The 27752-nt window shown below is 52.2% G+C and overlaps 1 protein-coding gene across 3 annotated transcripts in view, besides 4 other annotated features; it reads right to left on the bottom strand.

The window, feature by feature from the left end:
• Positions 1-27752, bottom strand: part of MCM5 (minichromosome maintenance complex component 5) — a 54892-nt gene that overhangs the window by 7617 nt on the left and 19523 nt on the right. For 2 of the 3 annotated variants that reach the window (XM_047441366.1, XM_006724242.5), the window contains exons 14-16: positions 27403-27531; positions 25955-26097; positions 24074-24201 (exon numbers count right to left, since the gene is read on the bottom strand). In XM_047441366.1, the coding sequence (XP_047297322.1) occupies positions 24074-24201; positions 25955-26097; positions 27403-27531 (400 nt within the window). Of the gene's footprint in view, positions 1-21983; positions 23262-24073; positions 24202-25954; positions 26098-27402; positions 27532-27752 lie in introns of those variants that run through there. The other variant, NM_006739.4, reaches the window with a different exon arrangement.
• Positions 11772-12273: an enhancer, noted in NCBI's record as "H3K4me1 hESC enhancer chr22:35831135-35831636 (GRCh37/hg19 assembly coordinates)". NCBI's record gives its function as "activates a minimal SCP1, AML or CMV promoter by ChIP-STARR-seq in primed H9 embryonic stem cells {active_cell/tissue: H9 hESC(primed)}" and the evidence as "EXISTENCE:reporter gene assay evidence [ECO:0000049][PMID:30033119]".
• Positions 20054-20559: an enhancer, noted in NCBI's record as "H3K27ac hESC enhancer chr22:35822849-35823354 (GRCh37/hg19 assembly coordinates)". NCBI's record gives its function as "activates a minimal SCP1, AML or CMV promoter by ChIP-STARR-seq in naive H9 embryonic stem cells {active_cell/tissue: H9 hESC(naive)}" and the evidence as "EXISTENCE:reporter gene assay evidence [ECO:0000049][PMID:30033119]".
• Positions 20560-21067: an enhancer, noted in NCBI's record as "H3K27ac-H3K4me1 hESC enhancer chr22:35822341-35822848 (GRCh37/hg19 assembly coordinates)". NCBI's record gives its function as "activates a minimal SCP1, AML or CMV promoter by ChIP-STARR-seq in primed H9 embryonic stem cells {active_cell/tissue: H9 hESC(primed)}" and the evidence as "EXISTENCE:reporter gene assay evidence [ECO:0000049][PMID:30033119]".
• Positions 21068-21573: an enhancer, noted in NCBI's record as "H3K27ac-H3K4me1 hESC enhancer chr22:35821835-35822340 (GRCh37/hg19 assembly coordinates)". NCBI's record gives its function as "activates a minimal SCP1, AML or CMV promoter by ChIP-STARR-seq in primed H9 embryonic stem cells {active_cell/tissue: H9 hESC(primed)}" and the evidence as "EXISTENCE:reporter gene assay evidence [ECO:0000049][PMID:30033119]".

Below are 27752 nucleotides of genomic sequence, written 5' to 3'. Positions count from 1 at the left end.
TTCTCCCAGGAATGAGAGAGGACTCCTTACAGATACAATCTCGGGCATCGCTAAGCCATGTGTCACTCAAACCCAGAAGGAACAAGGGGCTCTTGTGCAGGCAGCAGAACCCTCATGTGGGCTGGGAACCCCCAAACCCGTCGGGGAAGGAGCGCAGAGAGTAACACTCCCATCTGTTCCACCCTTTGCAGTTTACAAAGCACTTTCCCACACAGCTTCATGTCGAATCCTCACAGCAACACCGAGAGGGACGCAGGTTTCCCACCCAGAGCCGGGAAGCCCGAGGCTGATGCTGCACGCCCTCGGCCAGGAAGGGCCAGCAGGACCAGCCTTGGGGCTGAACCCCTGGTCTTCTAGCTGCCGTCCCTGAGCTGGTTCTGTCCTAGAGAAGCGCGGACCGCTGCCCGGAGTCGGGGCAGAGCAGACTGATGCCTTAGGGTACAGGTGATGCTGAGGCCCCCGGAGGGCTTGGCTCATGCAGGGGCCTCGTGACCCACCTGGGCAGTTGGGGCAGGACACTGGTGACCGGAGCACTTGTCTCTGCGGAGGGAACTAGAATCTCTAGAACAAACCCCCCCATTCAGAAAAGACTCTCAGAAAGGATTTGGGTGATGAAGATGCTCAGGGAACCGAGATGAGAGAAATATGAAGGTGAGGGGGTGCGGTGAGTCCAGGACTAGAGGAGAAGCCAATCTGGAAAATTCTGCGGGCAGAGTTGAGGGAGGCTTCCATTCCTCACTCCTTCCTCCCACTGCGGACGGGCAGCCACTCCCTCCTGCAGGCGCCCCGGTTGTTCCCCTCCACATGCCGTAGTGCTCACTGGGGGCATTCTGCTTGGTTGTTTCTTGTCTGCCTCGCCCACGAGACTGTGAGCTGGCCTCTGAGTCATCTGCTCGTCCACTCGCTCATTCACTTCCAGGGTGCGCAGCAGCTCTGTGTGCTGGAGGTACAGCGATGGGGGTACTAGACAAAGTCTTACATATGGCTGGTGTGAGAGACAGTGCTAGAGTCAGGAGAGAGGGCTTCCCTTTCATTTACACCTGGACACTTGGCTTCCTCTGTGGGGAATCCCAGTGCTAGAATGTTCCAGCCAGGGCCTTGTTCTAATGACCCACTTTCATAGGATCATGGCAGGGACACCTCTCCCCGCAACACCCTGACATACCCTTATTAGGGCTGCTTTGTTCCTTCTGCTCAAGACGTTACTTCCTGTTAAATTCGGATATGCCTACCAGAGGAGAACACACAGAGCCTCATCCATCATTATGCTGAGTTTTTTCATTGGGATGATTTGTTCCAGCACTCAGTACAGAGCCTGGCACAGAGAAGCACTTGCTGAACAGATAGAGACCAATCCACTCACTCTGTAAATATGGGCGCAAATGCCCACTATGTGTCAAGCACTGGGCTAAGCAGAAAGATGTGGAGATAAACCAGATGCAGTGTTGCTGACCTCAAAGAACACAGGTTGCAGTATGACCCGACTGAGAAGTACCATCTGGGAGGTCACTCCAATTTTCTGAGTATCGGGTATCAGGAAAAGTTATCTACTCAGCTGAATTGGACCAAATGCTAAAACATCTTCAAAGCATAGTCAAATGCAGGGCCGAGTGTGGTGGCTCATGCCTGTAATCCCAGCACTTTTGGAGGCCAAGGAGGGCCGATCACCTGAGGTCAGGAGATCAAGACCATCCTGGCCAACATGGTGAAACCCTATCTCTACTAAAAATACAAAAAATTAGCCAGGCATGGTGGTGGGTGCCTGTAGTCCCAGCTACTCAGGAGGCTGAGGCATGAGAATGGCGTGAACCCAGGAGGCAGAGCTTGCAGTGAGCTGAGATCGCGCCACTGCACTCCAGCCTGAGCAACAGAGTGAAACTCCATCTCAAAAAAAAAAAAAAAATACAAAAATACAAAAATTAGCTGGGTGTGGTGGTGCATGCCTATAATTCCAGCTACTCAGGAGGCTGAGACAGGAGAATCACTTGAACCCAGGAGGTAGAGGTTGTAGTGAGCCGAGATCGAGCCACTGCACTCCAGTCTGGGCAACAGAATGAGACTCCGTCTCAAAAAAAAAAAAAAAAAAAAAGCATAGTCAAATGCATCTAACACAGGTTACACTTTCCCTTAATGGCCCAGAAAGCCCATTAGGATTCTGAAACATGCCAGGGTCCGTGTCAGGAGCAGCTGCCCTCAGGTGTGTCCACCTGTGAGGTCACGCTTATTCCCATTTCACAGATGAGACAACTGAGACTCAGGAAGTTCCCATGGCTAGGAAATGGCAGAGCTGGGGAGCAACCCCAGGCTGGTGTGACCCCACAGTCTATGTTCTTTCTGGACAGCCCAGCTCTCGGTTTCCAAATAGAATGTCCACCTGGTGAGCTTCCACCTCCATCTCATTGGCCAGAAGCAGGTCACAGGGTCGCTCTGGCCGCAGAGGAGTCTGGGAGGTGAGTGCGTTCACTGGGCTGCATGAGCATAACTGGCATTCTTTAGAGAGGAAGAAGGAGAGGGGAGCATGCGTGGGCAACTTTGCTGCATCTGCCTCATTTTCTAAATTTTTTCTATAGACAGGGTCTTGCTACATCGCCCAGGCTGGTCTCAAATGCCTGGCCTCAAGCAATCCTCCCACCTCCGCCTCCCAAAGCAGTGGAATTATAGGCATGAGCCCCTGTGCCTGGCCTCTGCCTCATTTTGGATGATGATGCTTATCACTGCCATAAACGTCATCATTATTATCACGGCCATTACCTGCCTGTCTTCAGCATACTCCCAGACCCAGGCCAGCAGGGCAGCTTCCCCTACCCCTGCCCACCACGCACACAGACCCCACAGGAGGGACCTCCAAATCCCCATCTCAACCACGAGTCACAGGCCACAGGGGCTCCTCGCCAAGCTCTGGGCCGCGACAGCCCAGGAGGGATCCAGGATGTGCCCAGATGGGGTTCCCTGCCCTGCTCCTCCATCAGCCCCAGCCCCAGCAGGGCAGCTATTTTGAGAGCAGCTGGCTGCAGACAGCACCTGGTGATGGAACAGCTCTCACTCAAGTCCACAGACCCTGCCTAACGCCCTCTGCTCTCTCTCTGCTTCCCCCTTGAATTACCTGGCAGCCTTCACTCCTCAGCCTCAAGCCCCCCTCTCTCCACCTCTCTCACCCATTAATTCCTCCCCACTTCCTCTCCTCTCCCTCTCTCCCTCCTCCCCTTTCCTCTCTCTTTTCTCTGTTCTCTTCTCTCTCTCTCTCTCTCCTGCCTGTCAGTTCTAATAAATTCAGTCAACCTTTCCTGAGTCCCTCATATGACCACAGCACCAATGCTAACATGGATTGAGCCTTTACTGTCTGCCAGGCACAAGGCTCTTCCTTTGTAGCATCATCTCACTTAATCATCAAAGCCATGACAAAAGGCAGGAACTATCCCTGCTCCCATTTTACAGATAAGGAAACTGAGGCATAGAGAGGCCAAGTAAATTGCCCAAGATCACAGACCCAGTAACAGCAGGGCAGGGATTCAAACCATGTGTTCTGGCTCCTTACCCTCCAAGTCTACGGCCCACGGCCCCCTCCGAGGCCTGCACTGGGCTCAAGGGGCACCATCCTGAAGGAGGAATTCACATGCAGTGCGGGAGGCAGAGCCACAAACAAGTGCAAGCACCTGGCAGACTGGAATACACAAGAGCATCCCCTCTGGGCCCCCACTGTGCAGGAGGCTGCAGGGCTGGAAGTGGAGGAACTGTTACCAGAAGGTGGTCCAAGCAGGCTGCATTTGGAAAGGTGGAAAGGTGAGGGAGAAGTCCAGGCAGAAGGCACAGCCCAAGGGTGTGAGCAGGTTCAGGCAGGAAAAGATTCACAGGCCAGACCAGGGTGAGGCAGGCGCAGCACTGGCGTGGCCCTGAGAGGAAACCCTTGCACAAATTTTGCACCTTGACGCCAGACATGTTGGCTCATGTCTGTAATCCCAGCACTTTAGGAGGCCGAGGGGGAAGGATCGCTTGAGGCCAGGAGTTTGAGACCAGCCTGGCCAACATGGCAAAATGCTGTCTCTACTAAAAATTAAAAAAAATTAGCCAGGCGTGGTGGTGCACATCTGTATTCCCAGCTACTGGGGAGGGTGAGGTAGGAGAATCACTTGAACCTGGGAGGCGGAAGTTGCAGTGAGCTGAGATCACGCCACTGCACTCCAGCCTGGGTGACAGATCGAGATTCCATGTAAAAAAAATTTTTTTGCACCTTGGGCACCTTGCTCGCCTCACTCATGCTCATGTGGCAATCGAATGAGTGGCAGTTTAATGAGGAATGGCGAGGAAGGTGCGGGGCTGGGCTCAGGAGTGCTGAGAGGGAGAGTGTGGTCCTCAGGCTGAAAAGCAAAAGCCATCTCCATGGCTGCCCAGAGGAGGATGCAGTTTCCAGAGCTGTGAAGGGGGACCCAAAGGCCAGGGCAGGAGCTAGGACCCCGTGAGAAGGGGGCCAAGGACACGTACCCTCACTTTATCCTCCTGCCACTGTCCAATCTCCAATGTTTCCATGGCAAACCCAATGGGAAACAAACAGAGCCCACTGATGCCTCCTGTCAGGGGCAGAGTAGTGGCCTGGAAAGATGTTCATGGACAAATCCCTGAAACCTGTGAACACGGCGCCTTCCATGGCAAAGGTGCAGATGAGATCAAATTAAGATGGGGAGATTATTTGGGGATTATCAGGATGAGCCCAATGTAATCACAGTCATTAAAGAAGGAGGCAGGAGGCAGAGCCAGAGAAAGGAGAGATGGTGACAGGTCCAGAGGGTGGGAGGGAATCGGAGGGTGCTGGCTTTGAAGACGGGCTTAGAGGCCCCGAGCTAAGCAATGTGGCAGCCTCTGGAAGCTGGCAAAGGCGAGGAAACTGATTCTCCCCAGAGCTTCCAGGAAGAACCAGCCCTGCCTGCACTTTCATACTTTGACTGTAGCCCGGTGAGGCTGATTTTGAACTTCTGACCTCCAGAACCGTAAGAGAATAGAAACATAAGAGAATAAATGTGTGCTATTTTAAGCCACTGAGTTTGTGATGTTTTTTTTTTTTTCTTTTTTAGTAGCCACACTTCTCCATCCATGGATGTCGGCCCCCTAGGCCGAAGAGCAGAGAGAGAAGCGCAGACGGAGGAACCCACCACGCAAGCAGGCAGGCAGCAAGTGAGTGGTGTGTCTGGGGGTGGTGGGCCTTCCGCTGGCACTGGAGTATAATATACACGGGTGGCATGGGGTGTCAGGTGGGGCCAGGGGGTGAAGGACAGGACAGCCGGGAAACAACGCCAAGCAGGGGAGCGTGGACTTTCTCCTTGGGCAATGGGGAGCCACGGGAGTTTCCTGAGCAGGGAGTAGCTCGATCAGATTTAGATTCGACCAGATTGGTGAGGAGCTGAAAGGGAACAGGGGAGACTGGAAGGACAGAGGGAGGGACCCGTGGGATGCTGTTGCAACACGCAGGCTGGCCAATGGGAAGGGGCCTCTGAACCGGATCAAGAGGCCCGGCTTGTGGCTTTGGATCTCCTTTAGGCAGTTCTAGCCATGCCAACTCGTCCTGGCCTCACCTTCACACCCATGCCACATTCCACCTCTAGGCCTTTTGTGCTTTTTCCTTCCCTGGCCTGGGACACCCTTGCTGCTCCTCTCCATCGATCCTTCCCAGCCTTCAAGGTTCAGCTGAAGGGCACCTCTTCCAGGGAGCCTTCCCTGATAAGCCACTGAAGCCACAGGGCCTCAGGAATCACCTTGCCCAGTCCTCCTCTGCCCTTCCATCCCTCACCTCTGCCCATATACCCCCACTGCCAGGACACCCACTGCCTGGGTTCCAATCCCACTCACTCCACTTCCCAATATGTGACTTAGCCTGTGCCTGTTTCCACACCTGTAAAATAAGCACAAGGGAATCACCTACTCTATGGGGCTGTGTGAGGGATAATAGGTACTGACATAGAAGAGTACTCAGCACAGCGCCTGTAGAGGTGGTGGGGGGGCACCCAGAGAGCCTGCAAGCATCTGCTGTTCTGGTCCCCAAACCAAGAGCCCATGAGTGCGAGATTGTCCTCCCTGAGCTGAGCCCACCCTTAGCTCACTCCTCCCTCTGGCCCCAGCCCTGCCCCTAGGGCCACCAGCACACATCTAATCCATCTTCCATATAGCATCCTGTAACTCTGATGGAGACAGTGGTCATGTCCCCTGGGCTTTGCAGCCCAGTCCCTTCTCCAGCCTCTCCCAGAGGAAGCTTTCCAGACTCTTCTGCACAAACCCCTTTCCCCGCACATTCCTGCGCAGGGCCCACCTTGGACGCAAGGTCCCTTCACCATACGGTCACTGGGATCTTACTTTTTTTTTTTTTTTTTTTTGACAGAGTTTCACTCTTATTGCCCAGGCTGTAGTGCAATGGTGTGATCTCAGCTCACCGCAACCTCCGCCTCCCGGGTTCAAGCGATTCTCCTGCCTCAGACTCCCGAGTAGCTGGGACTACAGGCATGCGCCACCACACCCGGCTAATTTTGTTTTTTTAGTAAAGACGGGGTTTCTCCATGTTGGTCAGGTTGGTCTTGAACTCCTGACCTCAGGTGATTGGCCCTCCTTGGCCTCACAAAGTGCTGGGATTACAAGTGCGAGCCACCACACCCAGGCAGGATCTTACTTTTTACTGGACTCTGGGGACACTGAGGCAAAGAAGATGCATGCCTGCCTCCAGACCAGCCCCTGCCTTCCTCGGATCCTCTGGAAGCACAAGTTCCACTCTGGCCAACTGGGCCAGGATTAGGGTCAAATGGAGTTTGCATTGCTGCAGTAGAATGCTATACTGTTCTTCCTTATATCCTGTCCTTGAATGGGTTTTCTGGCCTGAATTTATGGCCCCAAGATGACTGTAAGGACATGGAAGGCAGGGTCCGTACCTCCTCCCCTCTCAACCCCTGTAGCACCTGGCATACCTAAGATATTCCAGGCAGTTCAGGGGTCACATACTCCCTAGAACCCCAGAGCCTCAAGGGGCTTCAGGGATCAGCCAGTTCAATGCTCCCATTTCAGAGATGGGTGACCTGAGGTCCAGAGAAATAACGTGGCTGGCCCAAGGCCATTTCCAACATCACTTCCTAAGGGACCTTCTGCATGCTTCCACAGCCCCAGGGGGGCCTACTGATCTGACGCAGGCTTCTTTCTCTAAGCCAAGTCCCTGTTTCTCATTATTTTTTTCACTAACATCCTTTATCACAGGGCCTACTCAAGGGTTCTTTTAAAGTCTAAGTATCATGAGATGATGTTAGGGGAAGTGCTAGGACCCCAGACTCCGCCTACAATTGATTACAAGTGTGTAAAAATGATGTCTCCATGTGAATTTGGACGAGAGAAATGGAAAATTGACAGTAGGCAACTTAAGGAAACTGCTGGGATTCTAGATGATTTTTTTTATTTCTTCCTTTCTTTTCAGGTTCACTTTCACGTTCTTCTCAGGTTCATTTCTATGTTCTGCAATCAATGTATAAGGAAGGTGGGTGCAGCCAACACTGCGTGTGCCCACTCTGCTTTGGGCACCATGCCAGGCCTGCACACTATTTGGTTGCATCTCTACAACAGTCTTGCAAAGTATTAGCATTCCCACTTTTCAGATGGGGAAAATGGGGTTCAGAGATGTTTAGAAAAATTAAATGCCCAACTTCACAGAGTTAGTAAGTGATAGAGGAAGCATTAGAACATAAGACTTCCAATTCCAAGTTTAGTGTTCTTCCCTAAAAGACAGAGTGGGGGTGGAAGGAGTGTTCTTCCCTAAAAGGCAGGGAGGGAGGAAAGGAGGGAAGAAGATAACCTAAGTATGTTACATTAACTAGTTTGTCCCTGCTACACATTGTGTTCAGTATTTGTTGGATGGATGGATGGACATGTGGGTGGATGAATGGATGAATATGTGGGCGGGTGGATGGATGGATGAATATGTGGGTGAGTGGATGGATGGGTGAATGGATTAATATGTGGGTGGATGGATGAATGAATATGTGGGTGGGTGGGTGGGTGGGTGGATGTATGGATAGATGGATGAATATGTGGGTGAATGGATGGATGAATGAATATGTGGGTAGATGGATGGATGGGTGGGTGGTTGGATGGATGAATATGCAGGTAGATGGATGGATGGATGATTGGATGGATAAATATGTGGGTGGGTGGATGGATGGATGAATATTTGGATGGATGGATGAATGGATGGATGAATTTGTGGGTGGATGGGCGGGTGAGTGGATGGATGAATGGATGGATGGATGAATATGTGAGTGGATGGATGGATGGATATGTGGGTGGATGGGTGAATGGATGAATATGTGGATGGATGGATGGATGGATGGATGAATATGTGGGTGGGTGGACGGATGAATGGATGGATGAATATGTGGATGGATGGATGGATGGATGGATGAATATGTGGGTAGATGGATGGATGAATATGTGGGTGGGTGGATGCATGGATGGATGAATGGATGGATGGATGGATGAATATGTGAGTGGATGGATGGATATGTAGATGGATGGATGGATGGATGGATGGATGGATGGATATGTGGGTGGATGGGTGAATGGATGAATATGTGGATGGACGGATGGATGGATGGATGGATGGATGGATGGATGAATATGTGGGTGGGTAGATGGATGAATGGATGGGTGAATGGATGAATATGTGGATGGATGGATGGATGGATGGATGAATATGTGGGTGGGTGGATGGATGGATGGATGGGTGAATATGTGGATGGACGGATGGATGGATGGATGAATATGTGGGTGGATGGATGGATGAATATGTGGGTGGGTGGATGCATGGATGGATGGATGGATGGATGGATGGATGGATGAATATGTGAGTGGATGGATGGATGAATATGTAGATGGATGGATGCATAGATGGATGGATGGATGGATGGATGGATGGATGGATATGTGGATGGATGGATGAATATGTGGATGGATGGATGAATATGTGGATGGATGGATGGATGGATGAATATGTGGGTGGGTGGATGGATGGATGGATGAATGGATGGATAAATATGTGGGTGGGTGAGTGGATGGATGGATGGATGGATAGATGGACGGATGAACGGATGAATAGGTGAGTGGGTGGATGGACGGATGAATATGTGGGTGGGTGGGTGGGTGGGTGGATGAATATGTGGGTGGGTGGGTGGATGGATGGATATGCATGTGGGTGGATGGATGAATGGATGGAAGTCAGACAAGCAGCAGTTCCCAGGCTAAGAGCAGGGTTATTTACACATACCCCTTTGGCATCTGTCTGAAAGGTAGGGATGGGGTTTCCTAAGAGACAATGGTCCGTGCCTGGGTCCTTCTGCCTGGAAGATCTTTACCCTTTCCCTTCCTTGCCCTCGCTTGGTGAATAGGGAGATGAAGAGGACAAGGGGAAACGACAGGCCAAACATTACCACTAACTTGCTGTGTGTCCTGGGACTAGTCACTCCCCTTCTCCTCTGGGCCTGTCTCCCTCACTAAAATGTGAAAAAATAGGACTAGATTGACACTTTCCAACCTGGCTGGTATCAGAATCCTCTGGGAAGCTTGTGAAAATGCAGATGCCCAGGCCTCAGACCCATTAAACCAGCATCAGTTTTTAACAGGCTACCCAGGTGACTCTCACAATTGGTCAGATTTGGAGATAAGGGACTAAAAGGTCCCCAGGGCCTCAGTTGTGACACCCCGACTCATGGCTAGGTATGGCCCTTTCTGTAACCCGTCTTCTTTCCCTCTTTCATCTCCTCTCTGATAGTCAGGAACCTTTCAGTTACAAGGTCAGGAGCCCGACCCACCCTAACTGAAAGGAAATCTATTTGCAGACATACAAAGAAATTCACAAAGCAGAACTGCCTTCAGGCTTAGCTGGATCCAGGGGTTCAAAGATTCTCAAGGCTGTCATTCCATCTCTCAGCTGTTTCCTCAGTGTATCAGTTTCATTCCCACGTAGGCTCTGTCTACATGGCATGATGATGGCTGCTGGCCCACCCAACTCTTGTTATGCCACCCCACAATCCTGTAGAAAGTGAGAGAACCTCTCTCTTTTGGTGTCCATGAATCAAATCTCAAAGACTGATTGGCCCAGCCTGAGTCACCTGCCCACCAGGAGCCAATCCTTAGGCCAGGGGATGGGGCATTCTGATTGGCCAGTCCAGTCACATGACCAAAGAAACCCAGTATGTTCGGGGCACTGCCCATTCCCTAGGCCTAAGCCCTGGTCAATTCCCAGCCATGGGCACTTCCTGTAAGGGGGAGGGGAGGAGAGCCCAGCATCCTCCTGGGGCTGTTCTGCATGCAGGTGTCAACTGATCACCTGCCCAGAAGTCAGAAGTTTGTGGCTGTGTTCAGAGAAATTTCTGGAGGATCCAGGCCAATGGCCTCCTCATGTCCTCTGAAGGAGGTGGCCCTAGTGACGCGAGGCTGAGTCTTGGGACCCCTCTCCATCTGGCTTTGTGAAGTCACCCTTCCATCCTCATCTGCGAACTGACTCTCCCCCTGGCAAAGCTTGGGTTTCTAGGCCCACAGATAAACGTCTTTTCTACCCACCCCATAATCCCAAGGGCACTTTGCCAGCCCCTTCTCATTTGTTTGTGAAGGTCGGGTGGGGATATGATTACAGCCAGGCTGCCTTCCTAGGACAGGGTCCTGACCCAGAATGGCCTGTGGCCCTGCCCCAATGGGTTTGGACATGGGAAGGTGATGCAGGGGCAGAAAGCCAGGGCTGGGGAGAGCTGAGCAGCTCTGCACAAGAGTGAAGGGGGGAATTGAGGGGGAGAGGGCACGAAGCCAGGGAGATGGAAAAAGGCCAGAAGCCCCGGCCCATGAGATGTGCAGGGTGCAGTGGGCGCTGGCAAAGGAGTAGAAACAGCAGGGCCCCCTCATAGAAAACGTGAAGCCCCCAGGTGCCCCTTCTGCCCAGCTTTCAATAAAGCCTTGCACATAAGAGAGGGCTTTGGTGGAAACTGAGGAAGGGGCTGAACTCCAAGCCTGGATGCTGTCACATGTAACAGCGTGTGGAGGTAGTGGCGAGGCCTGGAAGCTGCGGAAGGTCAGAGAAGCAGGAGCATGAAGCCTCTGGGGCCCATGCGGTCTGTGGGTGGGGAGGCTGTTAAGAGCTGGATCCAGGCCGGGGAGGGCAGGGGTCCCAAACACCATCTTGGACCCATCGGGGCTAGCCATTTTCCCTCCATTTTCTTTTTTTCTTTTTTTTTTTTTTTTTTTGAGACTGAGTTTTGCTCTTGTTGCCCAGGCTGGAGTGCAGTGGTGCGATCTCAGTTCACAACCTCTGCTTCCCAGGTTCAAGCGATTCTCCTGCCTCAGCCTCCCGAGTAGCTGGGATTACAGGCATGCACCACCATGCCCAGCTAATTTTTGTATTGTTAGTAGAGATGGGGTTTCTCCATGTTGATCAGGCTGGTCTTGAACTCCCGACCTCAGGTGATCCGCCCGCCTCGGCCTCCCAAAGTGCTGGGATTACAGGCGTGAGCCACCGCGCCCGGCCATTTCCTTCCATTTTCATTCAACTGGGGGAAGCACAGCAAAAAATACCCTCTCCTTTTCCCTCTCAAGCAGACATGCCCGAGAGGTTGCCCAGCAGGCCTGCAGCAGATGCAGGACTAGAACCCAGGCCTCCGCCTCCAAGGCCAAGTTAGGGAGGCTGGCAGGGGGTGCCTACTGGGTCTCCCCCTCCCTCTGCCTGCCCCTCCTGGCCAGGGTTGTGTCCCACTCAGACCCACTGTGCCAAGGCTTCAGGCGACAAGCCCACAGGACAAAGGCTGCAGCAGGAAGACCCGGGAACAAAGCTGCTGCTGTGTAGACCAAGTTCAAAAATAAGCCAGACTCCCCGAGAGTCTGGTCACCATAGCAACGGGGGAGTTGTTCTGCAGAAGCCTCCTCACTGAAAGGCCCGGTGGCCACCACCTTCTTCCTCCCCTCCCTGAGGAATCAAGTCCCACCAGCACCAGGAGGAGCCTCTGGTGTCTTCACACATGCACATGCTGTCCCACCAAGTCCCCATCGAGGCCCCACCGCGGCCCTGAGAGACAGCCAGGGTCATTGTCACTCTGCACACTGGACCCCTGGGGTTCTGAGACAGAGGTCCTCACCAGGGTCACACACAGCTCAGGTCTGTCTGCCTCCAGGTCCAGCAATGCACAGCAAATTGGGAGGCCTGTATTCAAACTCCCATCTCTCTCCCTGCCTCCCAGCCTCCTCCTCATTCCTTTTTGTTTGTTTGAGATGGAGTCTTGCTCTGTCGCCCAGGCTGGAGTGTAGTGGTGCTATCCCAGCTCACTGCAACCTCCACCTCCCGGGTTCAAGCAATTCTCCTGCCTCAGCCTCCTGAGTAACTGGGACTACAGGCACCTGCCACCATACCCAGCTAATTTTTGTATTTTAGTAGAGATGGGGTTTTGCCACGTTGGCCAGGCTGGTCTTGAACTCCTGACCTCAAGTGATCCACCCACCTCGACCTTCCAAAGTGCTGGGATTACAGGCGTGAGCCACCGCGCCCTGCCTCCTCATTCCTCTGTGCCTCAGTTTCCCCCTCCCACCCAAAGCATTGTCGGGGTAAAGATGGGGACAGTTGTGCGTCCTTCCCAGGCTATTAGTGGTGAACAGGCATGATCACCCATGAGCAGGAACTGTGGGACTCTTGTCATAATCTCCTGTCCTCAGTGTTTCATTACAGCAGTGTCCCGTGTGGCATTCACTAATAGTTCCTCCTTGTGGGGTAAAGGTGTTGTCAGACAGGCTGTGGTAGGAATGCCCAAGCTTTCTCATCCCACTTCTGGAGATAGGCCCTTTCCCGCCTGGTCACAAAAGCAGGAAATGATCTGGACCTGACCAATTGATCTTGGCATCTCATCTCTCTGGCCACTGTGATTGGTCCAGGAGATAATGACTGGCCCAAGCACAGCCAATCAGAGAGCTCCCCTGGGACCGATAAATGGATACTGAGAGAAAAAAGCTCTTTCTTGGCAGAGAGGGTGGGGAGTTCAGGTTACTGACTTGGGACTTCCATGGGGCCTTGTCCCACACAGTGTGTAGAAGATGTATCATCAGGGTTCAGTGACAGACAACGGAATCCATTCCAGCTAGTAGGGAAAAAAAGGGCTTTTTTTTTTCAAGCATATTATTACTAAGTGTCTGAGCATCCAGGAAAGCTGCCTAAAACGCTGCTGAACTGGGCTAAGATGCCAGGGCTCCTGCCTCCATCAAGAAGCTGTGGAATTCAGAAGCCACCATTACAACTGCCAGCTCCAGCATTAGGCCTGCACTCTACCACCATCCACACAGCAAAATGGATGCTTGGATGCTCCATGCCCTGCCTCTCTCCCCACGAAACTCAGTTCCAAATTCTAGTCTTGTGCGTTTGCATTCAATGGCAGGATTTCCATGCCATCAGAAACACTAGCTGCAAGAGAGTCTGGAAATGTGGTTAAGTTTCCCAGCCTCTGCAGCACGGGAAGGGATGCCACATGGAATCCCTTGAGTCCATGGGATCTTGGGGCCATTTAGTGGCTGCCCCCGACAGGGCTTGAGGGGAAGGACCTCACCACAGGCTCCAGTCCCCGGCCCAGTGCCTCTGAGGAGGGATGGGGAGGGTGGGGTAGGGGAGAATATTTCCAGCCTGTTGCACCAAATGTGCCCAGCCCTGGGTCCTGCAGATGGAAAAGTAGAAATGAAGCCTTGCTTGGCTGCTTCCCCCTCTCCTGCAGGATCCACCCCCAAGAAGGGGCAGGACGACAGAGTGGGGATATGAGGACAGAAGAGCGACTTACATACACCAACAATGGCAACACGTGGCAACCAATGCCATTAGGCATTCCCAATGAAATGAGAGACCCCCCCAAGGTCCCCAAAGGCAACCTGGGTTAGGAGAGGAGCATTGGACTAAGAGCCGAGGGGTCTGAGTTCTGACCCAGGGGAAGCCCCTAACAGACTGTTTGTGAGCATGCCACATGCCCTCTCTGAGCTGTGGTCAGAGAGGTTGCAGTCAGGGCTGTGATCTCATCTGAAGGCTGGATGGTGGTGTTAAAGATGGTGATGTTATACATGGTCTCATCTATAACATGGATGGTGACTTGATACTGCCTGGATCCTCTGGGGCTCCAAGGGTTGAAGTTCTATCATGCAAAGGGAATCAAGGGGCCAGGCCCAGTGGCTCATACCTATAGTCTCAACACTTAGGAGGTGGAGGCAGGAAGATCACTTTGAGCCCTCAAGCTTGAGGCTAGCCTGGGCAATATAGCAAGACCCTGTCTCTACAAGAAAATTAAGAAATAAGCCAGACATGGTGGTGCATGCCTGTAGTCCCAGCTACTCCAGGAGCTGAGGTGAGAGGATCCCTTGAGCCCACAAGGTTGAGGGTGCAATGGGCCATGACTGCACTACTGCACTCCAGCCTGAGCAACATTGTGAGACCCTGTCTCAAAAAACAAAGAGGATCAAGGATGATGGGACAGAGACAACCTAGGGGGTTCACCTGGGCTCCACCATCTGCCCCCGAGACACCTGCCCCCAGCAACTTTTACCCTCCCAGCTCTCCTGAGTGCCTGATTTCCTGGTCTCCCTCTAGGACCTCCCATCTCTAGCCTCACACAGCGCTGCCTGGCCCCAATCCCCAACCCCCTCCACTCTCCTCCAGCCTCTCACCCACCACCCCCCCGCACACACACACACAGAGCCAGATGAGGCTGGACCAGGCTGGAGTTGCCGAAGGGGCTGAGCAGATGGCCAGGGCCAGGGACTAGATAGTGACTGGGAATTATTCACCTGACTACATGGGCTGGTGTTAAGAGTCTGGGCCCTTGCTTTCCTCCCCAAGGAAGTTGGAGGAGATACTTCCAGACTCCACGCAGCAGCTCTCTGGTGCTTCTCCTCCCTGCTCTGCTCTACTGACAAGGAGCACGTTCTGTGTGGGGGCCGTGAACAGAACCGTCACACAGTACTTGAGCTCCCAGGGTGAGGCGCTTATGTAACTGATGCCTGCCTGCCACCTGTACTCCCCGCTAGACCCCCTGGCTTCATCTCAAAGCACAAGGCCACCCCGGTACCCACACACCAGGCCTCCATGGGGTCCCATCTCTTGAAATATCACAGAGCACTTGTTCTTTCTCACAAGGCTCTTCATGCTGGCGCTGACGTTCTTTCTGGATCTTTCTCCCCCAAGCAGGAAGAAACATGCTTTGTTCTCTGTATTCCCAGTGTCCCGGAAACCTGTGAATGCTTGGTAAATTTAGCTGAATGAACTAAAAGTATCAATAATAATAGAAACCCATAGAGAATGTAACAGGCACTAGTCTAAGAGCTCTGCATACATTCATGCATTTAATGCTCACCTCGCCCTTTATTGTAGGTACGGTCATTATCTCCATGACACAAACGGATGAATCAACAAATGCCACCACGTTCCTTCTGGGGAAAGGCACTGACCCGACAGATCAGGCCCATCACCAGGCATAAAGTGAGAGGGTGCCATGCTGAGTGTCCTCTATTATACCACCAGAAGCAGGCAGGGTGTTTCTGGAAGGAGGGCCCCCTGGAGGAGGAGAGGCACAGAGGGAACTGAAGTCTGGGTCGCTGGAGAAAACAGCCCCTTCAACTCTAAAGGAGTAGCTGGGCCTGAAGCTGGGGGGTTCCAGGAGCCAAGATCCTCAAACTCACCCATGAGTTTGAGTTTGACAGGGATGGCAGTGGGAACCTTAGGGCTGCGTGCTAGAAGCTGATGGGTTCCAGAGACCGAGTCACCCAGAAATCCCATCTAATTCTAAGATTTGATGAGTCCTATATCAGGAGGAGACAAGACCCGAGAAACTATCACTGTGGTCACCTCCAGGGTGGCTGGGGACGGTCAGAGAGAAGGGGGACTGGTTTTACTTTTGTCTTTTCACCCATGCGCTACCCATACAAAAAATAATACACGTGTATATTTGAACTGAATATTTCTAAGAGTCTAGCCTTCTAAGCCTCCAAGATTATTACAATCATTCTGAGATCCAGACTGATTCTCAGAGACTGCTGGCAAAGATTCGGGGGTTGGGCATCCGTGGGTTTGGACCCCGGCTCCGTGCATTTCTGTGCCTCAGTTTCCTGGTGTGTAACCCAGGACGAGGATACCCACTTCCGCTGGAGCATGATAACGATAACTCAGGCATCCCCCAGGATCTGTCACGCAGCAGAGCCTTTGTCCAAACAAAGCCAGTGGTGAATGCCCAGAACCAGAGGATCCTCCAGGCAGCGTCTGGGCTGCTGAGTCTGAGCCAGGGAGTTTCCAGATTCCCAGGGTAGGAGGCCGGGAAGTCCCTGGGAGCGCCTGGAGAGCTGGCCCTGCAGGCCAGGCCGGGTGGGTGCGGGAGGCTGCAGCCCCGGGCCTGGTGCTCTGGCGCCCCCTCATGGACACTGTTCTCCTCGCACCCCTGGGACAGCTGGAGAGGAGTGCCCTCATTCATCAAAAAAATTCTCCTGATTATTCAGGGTTATTTTTTTTAAAAAGACCAAAGCTAGAGACAAGGTAAGAGTCCCCACTGGTCCTTCTGTGTCCTGCATGGAAATACGACTGAAAAAAAAAAAAAAGGCTGGGTACAGTGGCTCACGCCTGTAATCCCAGGACTTTGGGAGGCCGAGGCAGGTGGATCAGGAGGTCAGGAGTTCCAGACCAGACTGGCTAGCATGGTGAAACCCCATCTCTACTAAAAATACAAAACAAAACAAAATTAGCCAGGCATGGTGGCACGCGCCTGTAGTCCCAGCTACTCGGGAGGCTGAGGCAGAAGAATTGCTTGAAACTGGCAGGCGGAGGTTGCAGTGAGCTGAGGTCGCACCACTGCACACTCTAGCCTGGGCGACAGAGCGAGACTCCATCTCAAAAAAAAAAAAAAAAGTCCCCACTGGCTGGTTTTGGGGCTCCAGGCCCAAAACACAGCATTAAGTGTTCAGAAGCTTTTGACACCTTTTGAGACACATAATGATTAACTACAGGCACTCCTGCCCAGCGGGCACCAGGTGCCCACTTCCTGGCAAAGCTCTTGTTATTTCACTGTATCTTCCTATACTCTCACTATACTCAGCCCACACTATTATCAATCCTCTTAACATCTGGGGGAACAGAGACCCAGGAAGATAAACTGAACTCAGGGCACACAGCTGGAAGTGGTGGCATTAGGTGTCACACTCAGGCCATGGACTCCGTCACCCTGTGTAAGGAGCAGTAATTTTCTCTCCCATTCTCTGCAGGCCCCTGAAAGGTACCATGCTCAATACCAGTGAACGCTGTTCAGCCCAACCTGACCACAACTCTTCCAGATGGGCTTTTATTCCCCCCATTTTTAGGGTGACCAACGGGTGTGCCTAGGGCTGAAGGGGCTCCTGGGATGCAAGACTTTCGGTGTTAACACCAGAAAAGCCCGACCCATTTTACAGACACGGAAACTGAGATTTGGAGAGGGTAATATATTCCACAGCTATTGAGCATGGAGCCCAGAAGTCTTGCTCTAGAATGAGGCCTACTGGCTGAGAAGCACTAGGCTGAGCTGGTTCTCTAAGGAAGAACAAAAAATGGCTGGGCACGGTGGCACAGGCCTGCACTTTTTGAGGCTGAGGTGGGCGGATCACCTGAGGCCAGGAGTTTGACACCAGCCTAGCCAACATGGTGAAACCCCATCTCTACTAAAAATACAAAAATTAGCCAGCTACAGTGGCGCGCGCCTGTAGTCCCAGCTACTCGGGAGCCTGGGGCAGGAGAATTGCTTGAACCAGGAGGTGGAGGTTGCAGTGAGCCAAGAGAGCAAGCCACTGCACTCCAGCCTGGGTGACAGAGCAAGACTCCATCTTAAAAAAAAAAGGAAGAACAAAAAACAAGGGCAGGAGGGGTGAGGAGGAATGGCAGGAGAGAATTCTAGAATCTCAGAGCCCGGAACAATCAATCTTGAAATCTTGAAGGCAATAATATCTCCTAAGAAGACGACCCTTGGTGGCTCACCCAGATCCTTCACTTCTGCCTCTGAGACATTGAGTCATTTCCTCAAAGTCTTGTAGCCTCAATTTCTCATCTGTAATTTGGAGATAATAACCTTAGGACCTAGCATTTCAAAAAGATTTGGCCGGGCACGGTGGCTCATGCCTATAATCCCAGAACTTTGGGAGGCCGAGGCAGGTGGATCACCTGAGGTCAGGAGATCAAGACCAGCCTGGCCAACATGGTGAAATCTTGTCTCTACTAAAAATACAAAAATTAGCCAAGCATGGTGGCAGGCACCTGTAATCCCAGCTACTTGGGAGGCTGAGGCAGGAGAATTGCTTGAACCTGGGAGGCGGAGGTTGCAGGGAGCTGAGATCATGATACTACACTCCAGCCTGGGAACAGAGCAAAATTCCGCCTCAAAAAAGAAAAAAAAAAAAAAAAAAAAAAAAAAAGGTCAAAGAAAAGAACTGGGAATACTGGCATGCGCCTGTAGTCCCAGCTACTTGGGAGGTCGAGGCAGTAGGATCGCTTGAGGTCAGGAGTTCAAGGCTGTAGTGCACTGTGACTATGCCTGTGAATAACCAGAGCTGGAGGATTCCAGACCAGACAATACAGAGAAACCCTGTCTCTAAAACAACTAGTAAGTATGAAATAGGTGGTGGTGAGCCCTGAGTAGGAGCCGGGGAGAAGTCTCCCTGACCTGGAAGACCAAGCCCGCCAACAGATGCTGGGTTGCCTCTACCTGACCACGTGCAGAAACAGGGAGCTTACTACCTTACAACACAGCCCTTCTGTTAGAGCAAGCCAATGTGTGTAGGTTTACATACGTCAATAGTAGGTTTTTTACGTATGTAAAAAACTATCTACATATGTAGATAGTTTACATATGGAACACTGAAAAAGCCTTTACCCTGGGCCTGGTGGTGTTCTGAGTGCTTTGGGGCTGTTAACTCCTTTAATCCTGGCTGGTGCAGTGGCTCACACCTGTAATCTAAGAACTTTGGGAGGCCGAGGCAGGAGGATCGATTGAGCCCAGGAGTTCCAGACCAGCATGGGCAACACAGTGAGAACCACCCCCATCTCTAAAAAAATAATAAAATAGGCCAGGTGCAGTGGCTCACACCTGTAATCCCACCACTTTGGGAGGCCAAGGTGGGCAGATCACTTGAGTTCAGGAGTTTGAAACCAGCCTAGCCAACATGGTGAAACCCCATCTCTACTAAAAATACAAAAAATTAGCTGGGTGTGGTGGTGGGCACCTGTAATCCCAGCTACTCAGGAGGCTGAGGCAGGAGAATCGCTTGATCCTGGGAGGCGGAGGTTGCAGTGAGCCGAGATCGCGCCAATGCACTCCAGCCTGGACAACAGAGTGAGACTTGGTCTCAAAAAAAAAAAAAAAAAGAGAGAGAGAGAGCGATGGGGGTCTCACTATGTTGCCCAGGCTAGTCTTGAACTCCTGGCCTCAAGTGATTCTCCTGCCTCAGCCTCCTAAAGTGCTGGGATTACAGGAATGAGCTACCACACCTGGCCCCAAGTCCATGTTCTTAACCACTGTGCTTTACTGCCTCATATTTTTAATAAAAAATGCTTGTTTTTGATCTATAAAAACAAATTAAAACCATTTTAATGTACTCTTTGGCCTCACCATAATGTCTTAAAATAAATATCTACCTTGGTTCATCCAGACTTGACACTCCTAATTAAACATTTGTGGGGGGTGGGGGGCTAGGGAGGGATAACATTAGAAGAAATACCTAATGTAGATGACGGGTTGATGGGTGCAGCAAACCACCATGGCATGTGTATACCCATGTAACAAAACTTTACGTTCTGCACATGTACCCCAAAAACAAGTATAATAAATTAAAAAAGGGAAAAAAATAAAAATAAAAAAATAAAGGCCTTGAAAGCCAAAAAAAAAAAAAATGTGTTAAATACCAAACAGACGTATTCATGTTTAAATACATATGGATAATAGTTACAACACCCAAAAACATAAAACCTTCTTCCATGAGCTGGTCTCTGGAATGCTTAACTTTCGCATTTTAGAAATTCAACATTTTTGTAATTTTGTTGCTTACAGGCAAGAGAATGGGACTTTAGGCTGCTCTTTATAAGCATTCTCTAAATAACATATTTGAAGTATGGGCCATCTTTATTTCCAATAAAGAGAAACCTAAATTGGATATAGCCTTTGCTATGTTTTCCAGCACTGGGTTTGTAAGTCCCTGTGCTCTGTGACTTTGGATCTGGTGGCTGGAAGCTCACAGGTCTGGTGAAGATCGTGTAGTTAGCATGTGTATCCTCCTCAGTGATACCTGCGCTTAGGCTTCCTGTCTGACACCAGTGGCCCACAATGGGTGCAAATTAAGTCATATGTGACTAAGGACAAGCAACATGGTCTTAGTTCCCAGATCAACAGAGGTGGTATCTGTGAACAGAGAGAGAAACCAGGTAAAAGGACTCCATCATGAGCAAGCTTGTCTGCTCTCTCCTTCCCAGACCTGGAACTGGAGAAGGGGTGGAGCGGCTCTCATAGTGGTGAGCGAAGTTGAGAGACCCATGCAGCCAGGAGTAGAGTGGGGCAGGGAACACAGCAGCAGAGGCTCGGCCTCTGCTCACACAAAAGCATGAAAAGGTGAAATCCGAGATGGCAGAGGCTGTGAGGCAGGGAAAACCACAGGCACCCAGCCCTTCCTGGGAGCACCTCCCCGGGGCCAGGCCCAGCTGCTCTGATGTCTACCCCCTCAGTTAATCCTCACAGCCACCCCTGGGTGAAAGGGCTACTGTACTGCTGTGCCCTTTCTACAGATGAAAGGAGGCTGAGGGGTGAAGTGATTTGCTCAGCAGAGAGAAATGTCCGCTGGGTCGCGGCCTGTAGCTGGTGAGGGTAGGGACAGATCTGAGAAGACAAGCCTAAGGGAGCCAGGTCACAGGTGAGTGAAGAGCTCAGCCACCCTGAGTGGCAGCACCAGCTCGGGAATCCAGCTCCCCCCCTTGCCCCACCTCCCTGCCTCTCTAGGTGTCACTGAGGCCTGACTGGAGATTCCACTAAGCCGAGCCCCAACTATTACTCAGCCTGAATGCTCCCCTCTCCTGGCCTCCCTTCAGGCTCTCTCCTCAGCCTTTGCTTTCCCCAACAAGCAGGTGTTTCCCTGGCTCAGGGGCCTCTCTTCATGCTGCTGCCCCGATCTGGAAGGAGACTGGCATGCTCTGAGCACAGCTGCTCCTCCTATGAGCCCTACCCCAACTACCACGGAAAAGCCAGTCGGACCCCCTTTGGCCTCTCAGTCCTGTGCCTGCCAGTCAGGCCACCTACCCCTGGGAACCTACCCCAGGGTCAGTCTCCCCCACCTGACTGGCACCTGCCTCCCCCAGGCCAGGACTGTCTCTGCCCAGCATCCCACTCAGGCCGAGGTCAGGGACTGCCAAGAGAGAATCTGGCAGAAAAGGTGACATGGGTGGAGTTCGGAGCCACCAGGTTTGAAGCCTGCCCTGCACTCCCTCACTGTGACACTTGACTCTCTGAGCCTCAGTTTCTCCACCTGTAAAACAGAGGTGACCACAGCAGCACCACCCACCACAGGGGTGGAGAAAAGGCCACCAGCAAAGTTGCCACTGCAGGGTGAACCTCATGAGAGTTCCACACTCCATGAACAAGCAGGACGGGAGGACCTTGGGCCTGAGATGCACGCGAGTCCCCACCTGAGCAAGATGAAAGGCTAGCAGGAACCGGAGATGCAGCCTTGGATGCAAAACCCACAGCGCGCCCAGTAAGGTTGCCACCCCACCAAGAAAACAAAAGCTGTTCCAGACACTCTCAAAATTATCAGAAAAGAAATGAGCTTTGAACGGGAGTGAGTCAGAGGAAAGCTGATTTAGCTCCTCTCATCTCTCCATTTCCCCGAACAGTATGGAATCAGAAAGGGCTTTGAGCTGCAGGAATCTTCTGCACAAAAATACATTTGTGATTCAACAATGACCAGGCGGATGCACCAAGCTTTCTTGTATTTTTAGAAAAATCAAATAATCTTACTTCAAGTTCGTGTCATTTTTACATGGCAATTACTTTTAAATACCTTATCTAATGTTCCATAGATTTCCAAATTCACGTTTTGCTTGACACTTTGTATTTCTAAATGTATTTTAAATATCAAATATTTTATTTCACTGATTTCTATTTAATTTTATGAATCCTAGCTTTTTTAAAAACACAAAACATACCAACTCAGAGTGACTTTCTGAAATTAGGCAAAGTGACCGAGGCACTTGGCAACACTCCTTCCTCCAGCATCACTGTCACTAGTGCCTTCTGTCATTCAATCCTCACAACTCAGGGTGAGGAATCCCCCCATCTCCAGTTTACTGATAAACTCAGGCACAGAAAAGTGAAATGTCTCGCCCAAGGCCACACAGTTACACGTGGCCCACCAGGAAAGAACTGGCTGGAGTCCTAGTTCCTGCCTGGTGGCCACTACATTCCCCTCACTAACAGCTGCTCACTGACCCTAAGCACAACCCTGTGAAGCAGGTTCTAGTATCAGCCTGCTTACAGATAAGGAAACTAAGGCATGGAGAGGGTCCATGAATCCAGGCAGTCTGACCGCCGCACCACGGCTCGCAGCCCCCCAATAAGTTACTGGGGAACAGGTGAGGCGGATCAAAATCACACACTTTGAGAAGCGCTTCCCCACTCCCTGGTCTCACTGGATTCCCAGCATCAAGGGAGTGGCTTTATGAGCCCCGCTAAACAGATGAAGAAACCGGAGCACTCAAGTCACGTGACTTACCCAGAAGTCTGAGTGGCAGATCCAAGTCAGAAACCCTGGCCAGTCTGCCTCCAGACCCTGTTCCCTCACACTTACCCTGCCATGAGGGCACGATGGAGGTGACAGGTCACCGAGTGCACAAACCCACAGATACCTGAACACACCGTGGCTTTATTATTAACGGATGCCAAAAGCACACTTCCCAGAACCGCGCTAGAGGCGGGCGCCCAGAGGCAGCAGGACACTACAGCTCCTTCCTCTGGGGCAGAAAGGAGGGTGCCTGGGAAGTTCGAGGGCTGCAGTGGGGAGGCAGAGGTCCCAGCAACATTGTCAATGGCAGGCAGCGGCAGGAGGGGCGAGGCGTGGGCGAGTCCATGAGTCCAGTGAGGCGGCGCGACTCACTTGAGGCGGTAGAGAACCTTGCGCTGCATGCGATGCTGGATCTCGCCGCGCCGCAGCATGAGCTGCAGCACCTTGTGGATGGCGTGCTCCGGGTATTTCTGTGGGAGCACATGGCTGGCTAACGGCACGTGCTGCCCGAGGGGACTCCGACAGAGCCCAGACATCCCCAGGCTCACGGGGAACTTTGTACTCAGGCTCCTTTGACCTAAAGGGCCCACACTTCCTGAGTGCCCACTGTGTACCAGACACTGAGGCACACGGAGGCTAAGCCACTTGCTCAAGGTCACAGCAATTAAGAGGTAGAGCTGGGACTTAAGTCCCATCTGACTCTAGAACCGAAGCTCTAAACCTTTCTCTAAGCCTCAGTCTGCGCACCTATAGAATAGACACGATACCACCCATTAAACTGCCCTGAATCAAAATGAGATGATGTACAAGGAGCGGAGACCAGAAACTAGGATTAATCCTGAGATTTTAAAGGTGACAGGTTTTCCAGAGCATCTGGGAAATCCCATCTTCTCTCTATGGGGCCAACAGTACCCTCCTCAGTGAGCCAGAAAGCTCACTCTCATGGCTCTGCCCCTTCCCACTCCATGAAACGCCCGCCAACGGGGAAAGGCACAGACGGGAAGGGCTGCGGGGAACTTGTATGGGGTTTCACCAGAATCCAACCACCTCTGCTCTCCCCTCCCCTTCGTGGGACAGAAAAAATACCCCCATCCCTGCTCCTGATGAAGATGTCCCTAGGGAAGGAATGATGGCTAGAAAAGGTCTGAGAAAGGGACAGTTGTCCATCCTACCCCCGTTCAGGGCCTGTCTGCTGAGTAAGATGCCAGTGCTGAGTGGGTGGGAACCAGCAGAAGACCTGCACCCCGTGCCGGCTCACACCCCCACTCCAAGGCAGGCTCACCTGCTTGGTGAAGTCCTTGATGATGCTGTGCTCAGACACCTGGGAGCCAATGGCAAAGCGGCGCTTGAGCTGCTTCTCGATGCGGCTCAGCATCTCCTGGTCCTCCTGGCTGGTGAAGCCCTCCACCCCTGTGGGCATGGAGAAGTGAGGCAGCCGGGGAGCTGGGACAATGGGAGTTCTTGGACAGAGACAGCCTCTAGCCCAAGGAAGAACAGCCTGAGCCAGGCCCCGAAGAGTAAGTCAGAAAAGGGCACCGAGTGTGCCAGGGTGGTGCAGGCCTGATTGAGGAGACAGGATATGGCACATGTGGGGACACTCCAGGCCAAGCACAAAGTCACAGAGGCAGGAACACACCTGTCTCATTCAAAAAGCAGCCCGGGGCCCAGCGCAGCAGAGACATGGCCAGAGTGTCACTAGGGACCAAGTCCTGCGGGCCCTTGGAGGCCACAGCAGGACTCCTTTTGTTGCTGGAGCAGATAGATTAGAGAGAGAGTTGGAAGGGGCCCATCAGTGACCCAGGAGGGAAGCCAGCCTGCCCTGGACACATCTACGAGGTGCCCTGAGGAGCCCTCGGCAACCAGGAGGCTCGTGACTTCCAATTACTGCCACAGAGGCCTTGGTGTTTCAGCTAAGGAGATGGTGGGCTCATGGTCAAGAAGTCATTGAGAGGGGAGTCTGTGAGGCAAACTCCTACATAGCCCATAAGACCCAACTCAAATTATCACCACTCCATATCACCCCTGCCCTCTGTGCCTGCAGCATCCCAGAGGCCTCCACCTGCAATGTCTCATGTGACAGCAAGTGTCTCCAGGGTAGAGGCTGAGTCTTCACCAAGGGGGACAGGAGGAACAGGCCCCACCCACCCCATTCCTCACCCAAGTGCCTCCCCATTCAAATGCACCAAACCTGCTCCCTCCTGGGGAAACTGACACTTAGCGCTGCCTCCACCTGAGCAGCTCTTCCCCCAAGGAGCCACACTGTCCCCTTCATGCAGCTCCCTGCTTGGCATCACCTCCTTGCAGAGGCCATGCCCACTCACTCCATGGGAAAGAGCACGTCCTCCTTTTCCAACACACCTGGCCCTGCCATCATCTCCCTCACTGCCTTTTTCACTACCTACACTACCTGCATTTGTTTCTCTACTGTCTATCTCTCCCCAACTAGAACGAGAATGAGAACCCAGGAGGGCCGGGACCCTGTGATTGATTGCTCTTATACTCCCAGCACCTAGAACAGTGCCTGGCAAACAGTAACACTAATGAAGTATCTGCTGGGTGAAGGAACAGATTTTCCCCAGCGTAGGTAGCCTGGCTCATGATCGGTGCCTGGGACAGTCTGTTGAAAGGCTGACCGAAACCAGACAGTATGGCTTATGGTGTGGAAAACGCTGGCCTAGGGGCCAGGAGACTTGCATTCCAGCCAAGCGACTGTGATCTTGGGCACCAGGGAAAGGCCCCTTCGAGTGTCAGCTGTCTCATTTCTAACATGGGCAGGACTGACTGCTCACCTGGCTTCCAGGGGGCAGCTGTAAGGCAAAATGCAAGAAATAACTCTGGAAGCACTGAAAATGCTGACAAGCTCTAGGAAGCAGAGCATCAACTGTTGTTCCTAGCCAGTGAGAAGGGTTATCATCAATGACCTGGGTCAAGAGGATTGTGTTCAAGGGTCTGGAGAGAAGCTGCTTCTTCCCATCTTGGAGGAAACAGCGGTGGGGAGAAAGGAGGAGAGGGGTCTTATGGCAAAAAGAAACTCAGAGAAGCTCAGCAAACTCAGAGAAGCAAGACACACACTGCAGGCCCCCAGCAGGCCAGAGCCCTGCCCACAGAGCTCCGAGCCAGGGAACCCAGATCAATTGAGACCATGGCCCCTGCATCTGCTCACCTGACAGGGTACCGGACAAGGCAGCATCCAACGTGGACACTTGGAAGAGCCGCAGGGCCTCCTCCACATCTGCCTCTGTGGCGAAGGGCTGCAGCTTCATCTTGCTGAGGGCTTCCGCGATGCGCACAATGGCCTCCAGCTGCCTGTGGGGGCAACAGCGTGCTCAGGGTAGCCTCGGTCCGCTATTCCCTTCCTCCCCAGCCAGCCCGTTACCAGGGAGGTGCTTGCCCAAAGTGGTAAGACTGTGGTGGAGACTGCTAGGTGTCCCCATAATCCATCTCCCTTTTGATCTTAGTCATAGAACTGCAATTTTTTTTTTTTTTTTTTTTTTTTGAGACAAAGTCTCGCTCTGTGGACCAGGCTGGAATGTAGTGGCATGATCATAGCTCACTGCAGCCTCGAACTCCTGGGCTCCAGTGATCCTTCCACCTCAGCCACCTGAGGAGCTGGGTCTACAGGCATGCACCACAATGCCTGGCTAATTTTTTATTTTTTGTAGAAATGGGAGTCTTGCTATGTTGCCCAGGCTGGTCTCAAACTCCTGGCCTCAAGTAATCCTCCTGCCTCAGCCTCCCAAAGTGCTAGGATCACAATGTAGGCCACTGCACCTAGCTTGGAACCCCAGTTTTTAGTCTGGCACACAGCGATCCACTAAAACACATCCCAGACATCTTTTGTACCAGGTTGTATTTGTGTGACCAATCTATGGCAGTAAGTTGTAAGTCCAAGCATTGTGTGGGACTTCATGAAGTGTCCTTTAAAAGGGAAGCTCTCTTTCCTTCCTGTCCTGCTGCCTGGAGGTGATGGCTGAAGTTCTAGCGGCCATCTCGGACTAAGAGTAAGGGGGAGCTTGAGGAGTCCTCACACCAGTCCCCATACCATCTTCCTCCAGACAGTGCTACAGAAAAGAGAAATGAACTTCCTATTTCTTTAAGCTACTTTATCTGGATTTACCATTACTTATAGCCAAATCCATTTCCAACCAGTCAGTGCTGGAGACAGGATTCAAACCAGGTAAATCCCAACTCTTACCCACTGTATTGTCTACAAAGTCACAAGAATGAACAGAGTTAGGAGCTAAAAGCACTGAGGGCCAGAGAAGGAATGTAATTTCCCTACAGTCACACAGTGGGCTAGAGGCTGGGACCCAAGACTCTTGACTCCCAGGCCTGGGTCCTTCCCTCCCTTCGGGCTTCCTACAATGGGAGAAGCCAGGCCAAATTCAGACAAGAGGGGTCTAGGTTTGCCCGGCCTTAAATCAAGAAACATGGATCATCATTGAGATCAAGGAGGCCATAGTTTATGCTCCAAAGGGACTCTTCCTGCCCAGAGCTACTATGGGCCTGTGCCAAGTGAAAAGCCTGGACCACTGCCCCTGGTTGCCAAGCACACCCTGCTGTGTAAAGCAAGCCCCATCTGCCATGGCCCAGCCCTGCCCGCCTGCTCACCGCACAGTGATGGGGATGCTGGAGCGGCGGTCACTGTCCCTCTCGTGCTGACGGGCCCCGCTCCGCATGATGATGTAGCGGTTCTTCAGTTTCTCTGCAGCCTCTGCTGACAGCCGGGGGCCACACTTCCTGCAGGACAGTGGGGAGAGGCTGGTGTGAGGCCAGGAGGGACTCTTAGGGCACCTACCCTTTCCCCCAGCCCCCTGCCAGCTTACAGACATGCACTTTCCCACCACACCACAGCTGCCCACTCATATGGGCTGGGGGACAACAATCGGAAAAGATTTAAGTGAAATCTGGCTGTGGGCAGCTGCCACAAACATCAACACTGGGGAGAAATATGGGTGCCT

Source organism: Homo sapiens, chromosome 22, assembly GCF_000001405.40.
Source record: "Homo sapiens chromosome 22, GRCh38.p14 Primary Assembly".
In the NCBI taxonomy this organism is placed as follows: domain Eukaryota; kingdom Metazoa; phylum Chordata; class Mammalia; order Primates; family Hominidae; genus Homo; species Homo sapiens.
Note: the sequence above shows the minus strand (reverse complement) of the source record. Positions and strands in the feature narration are given on the sequence as shown.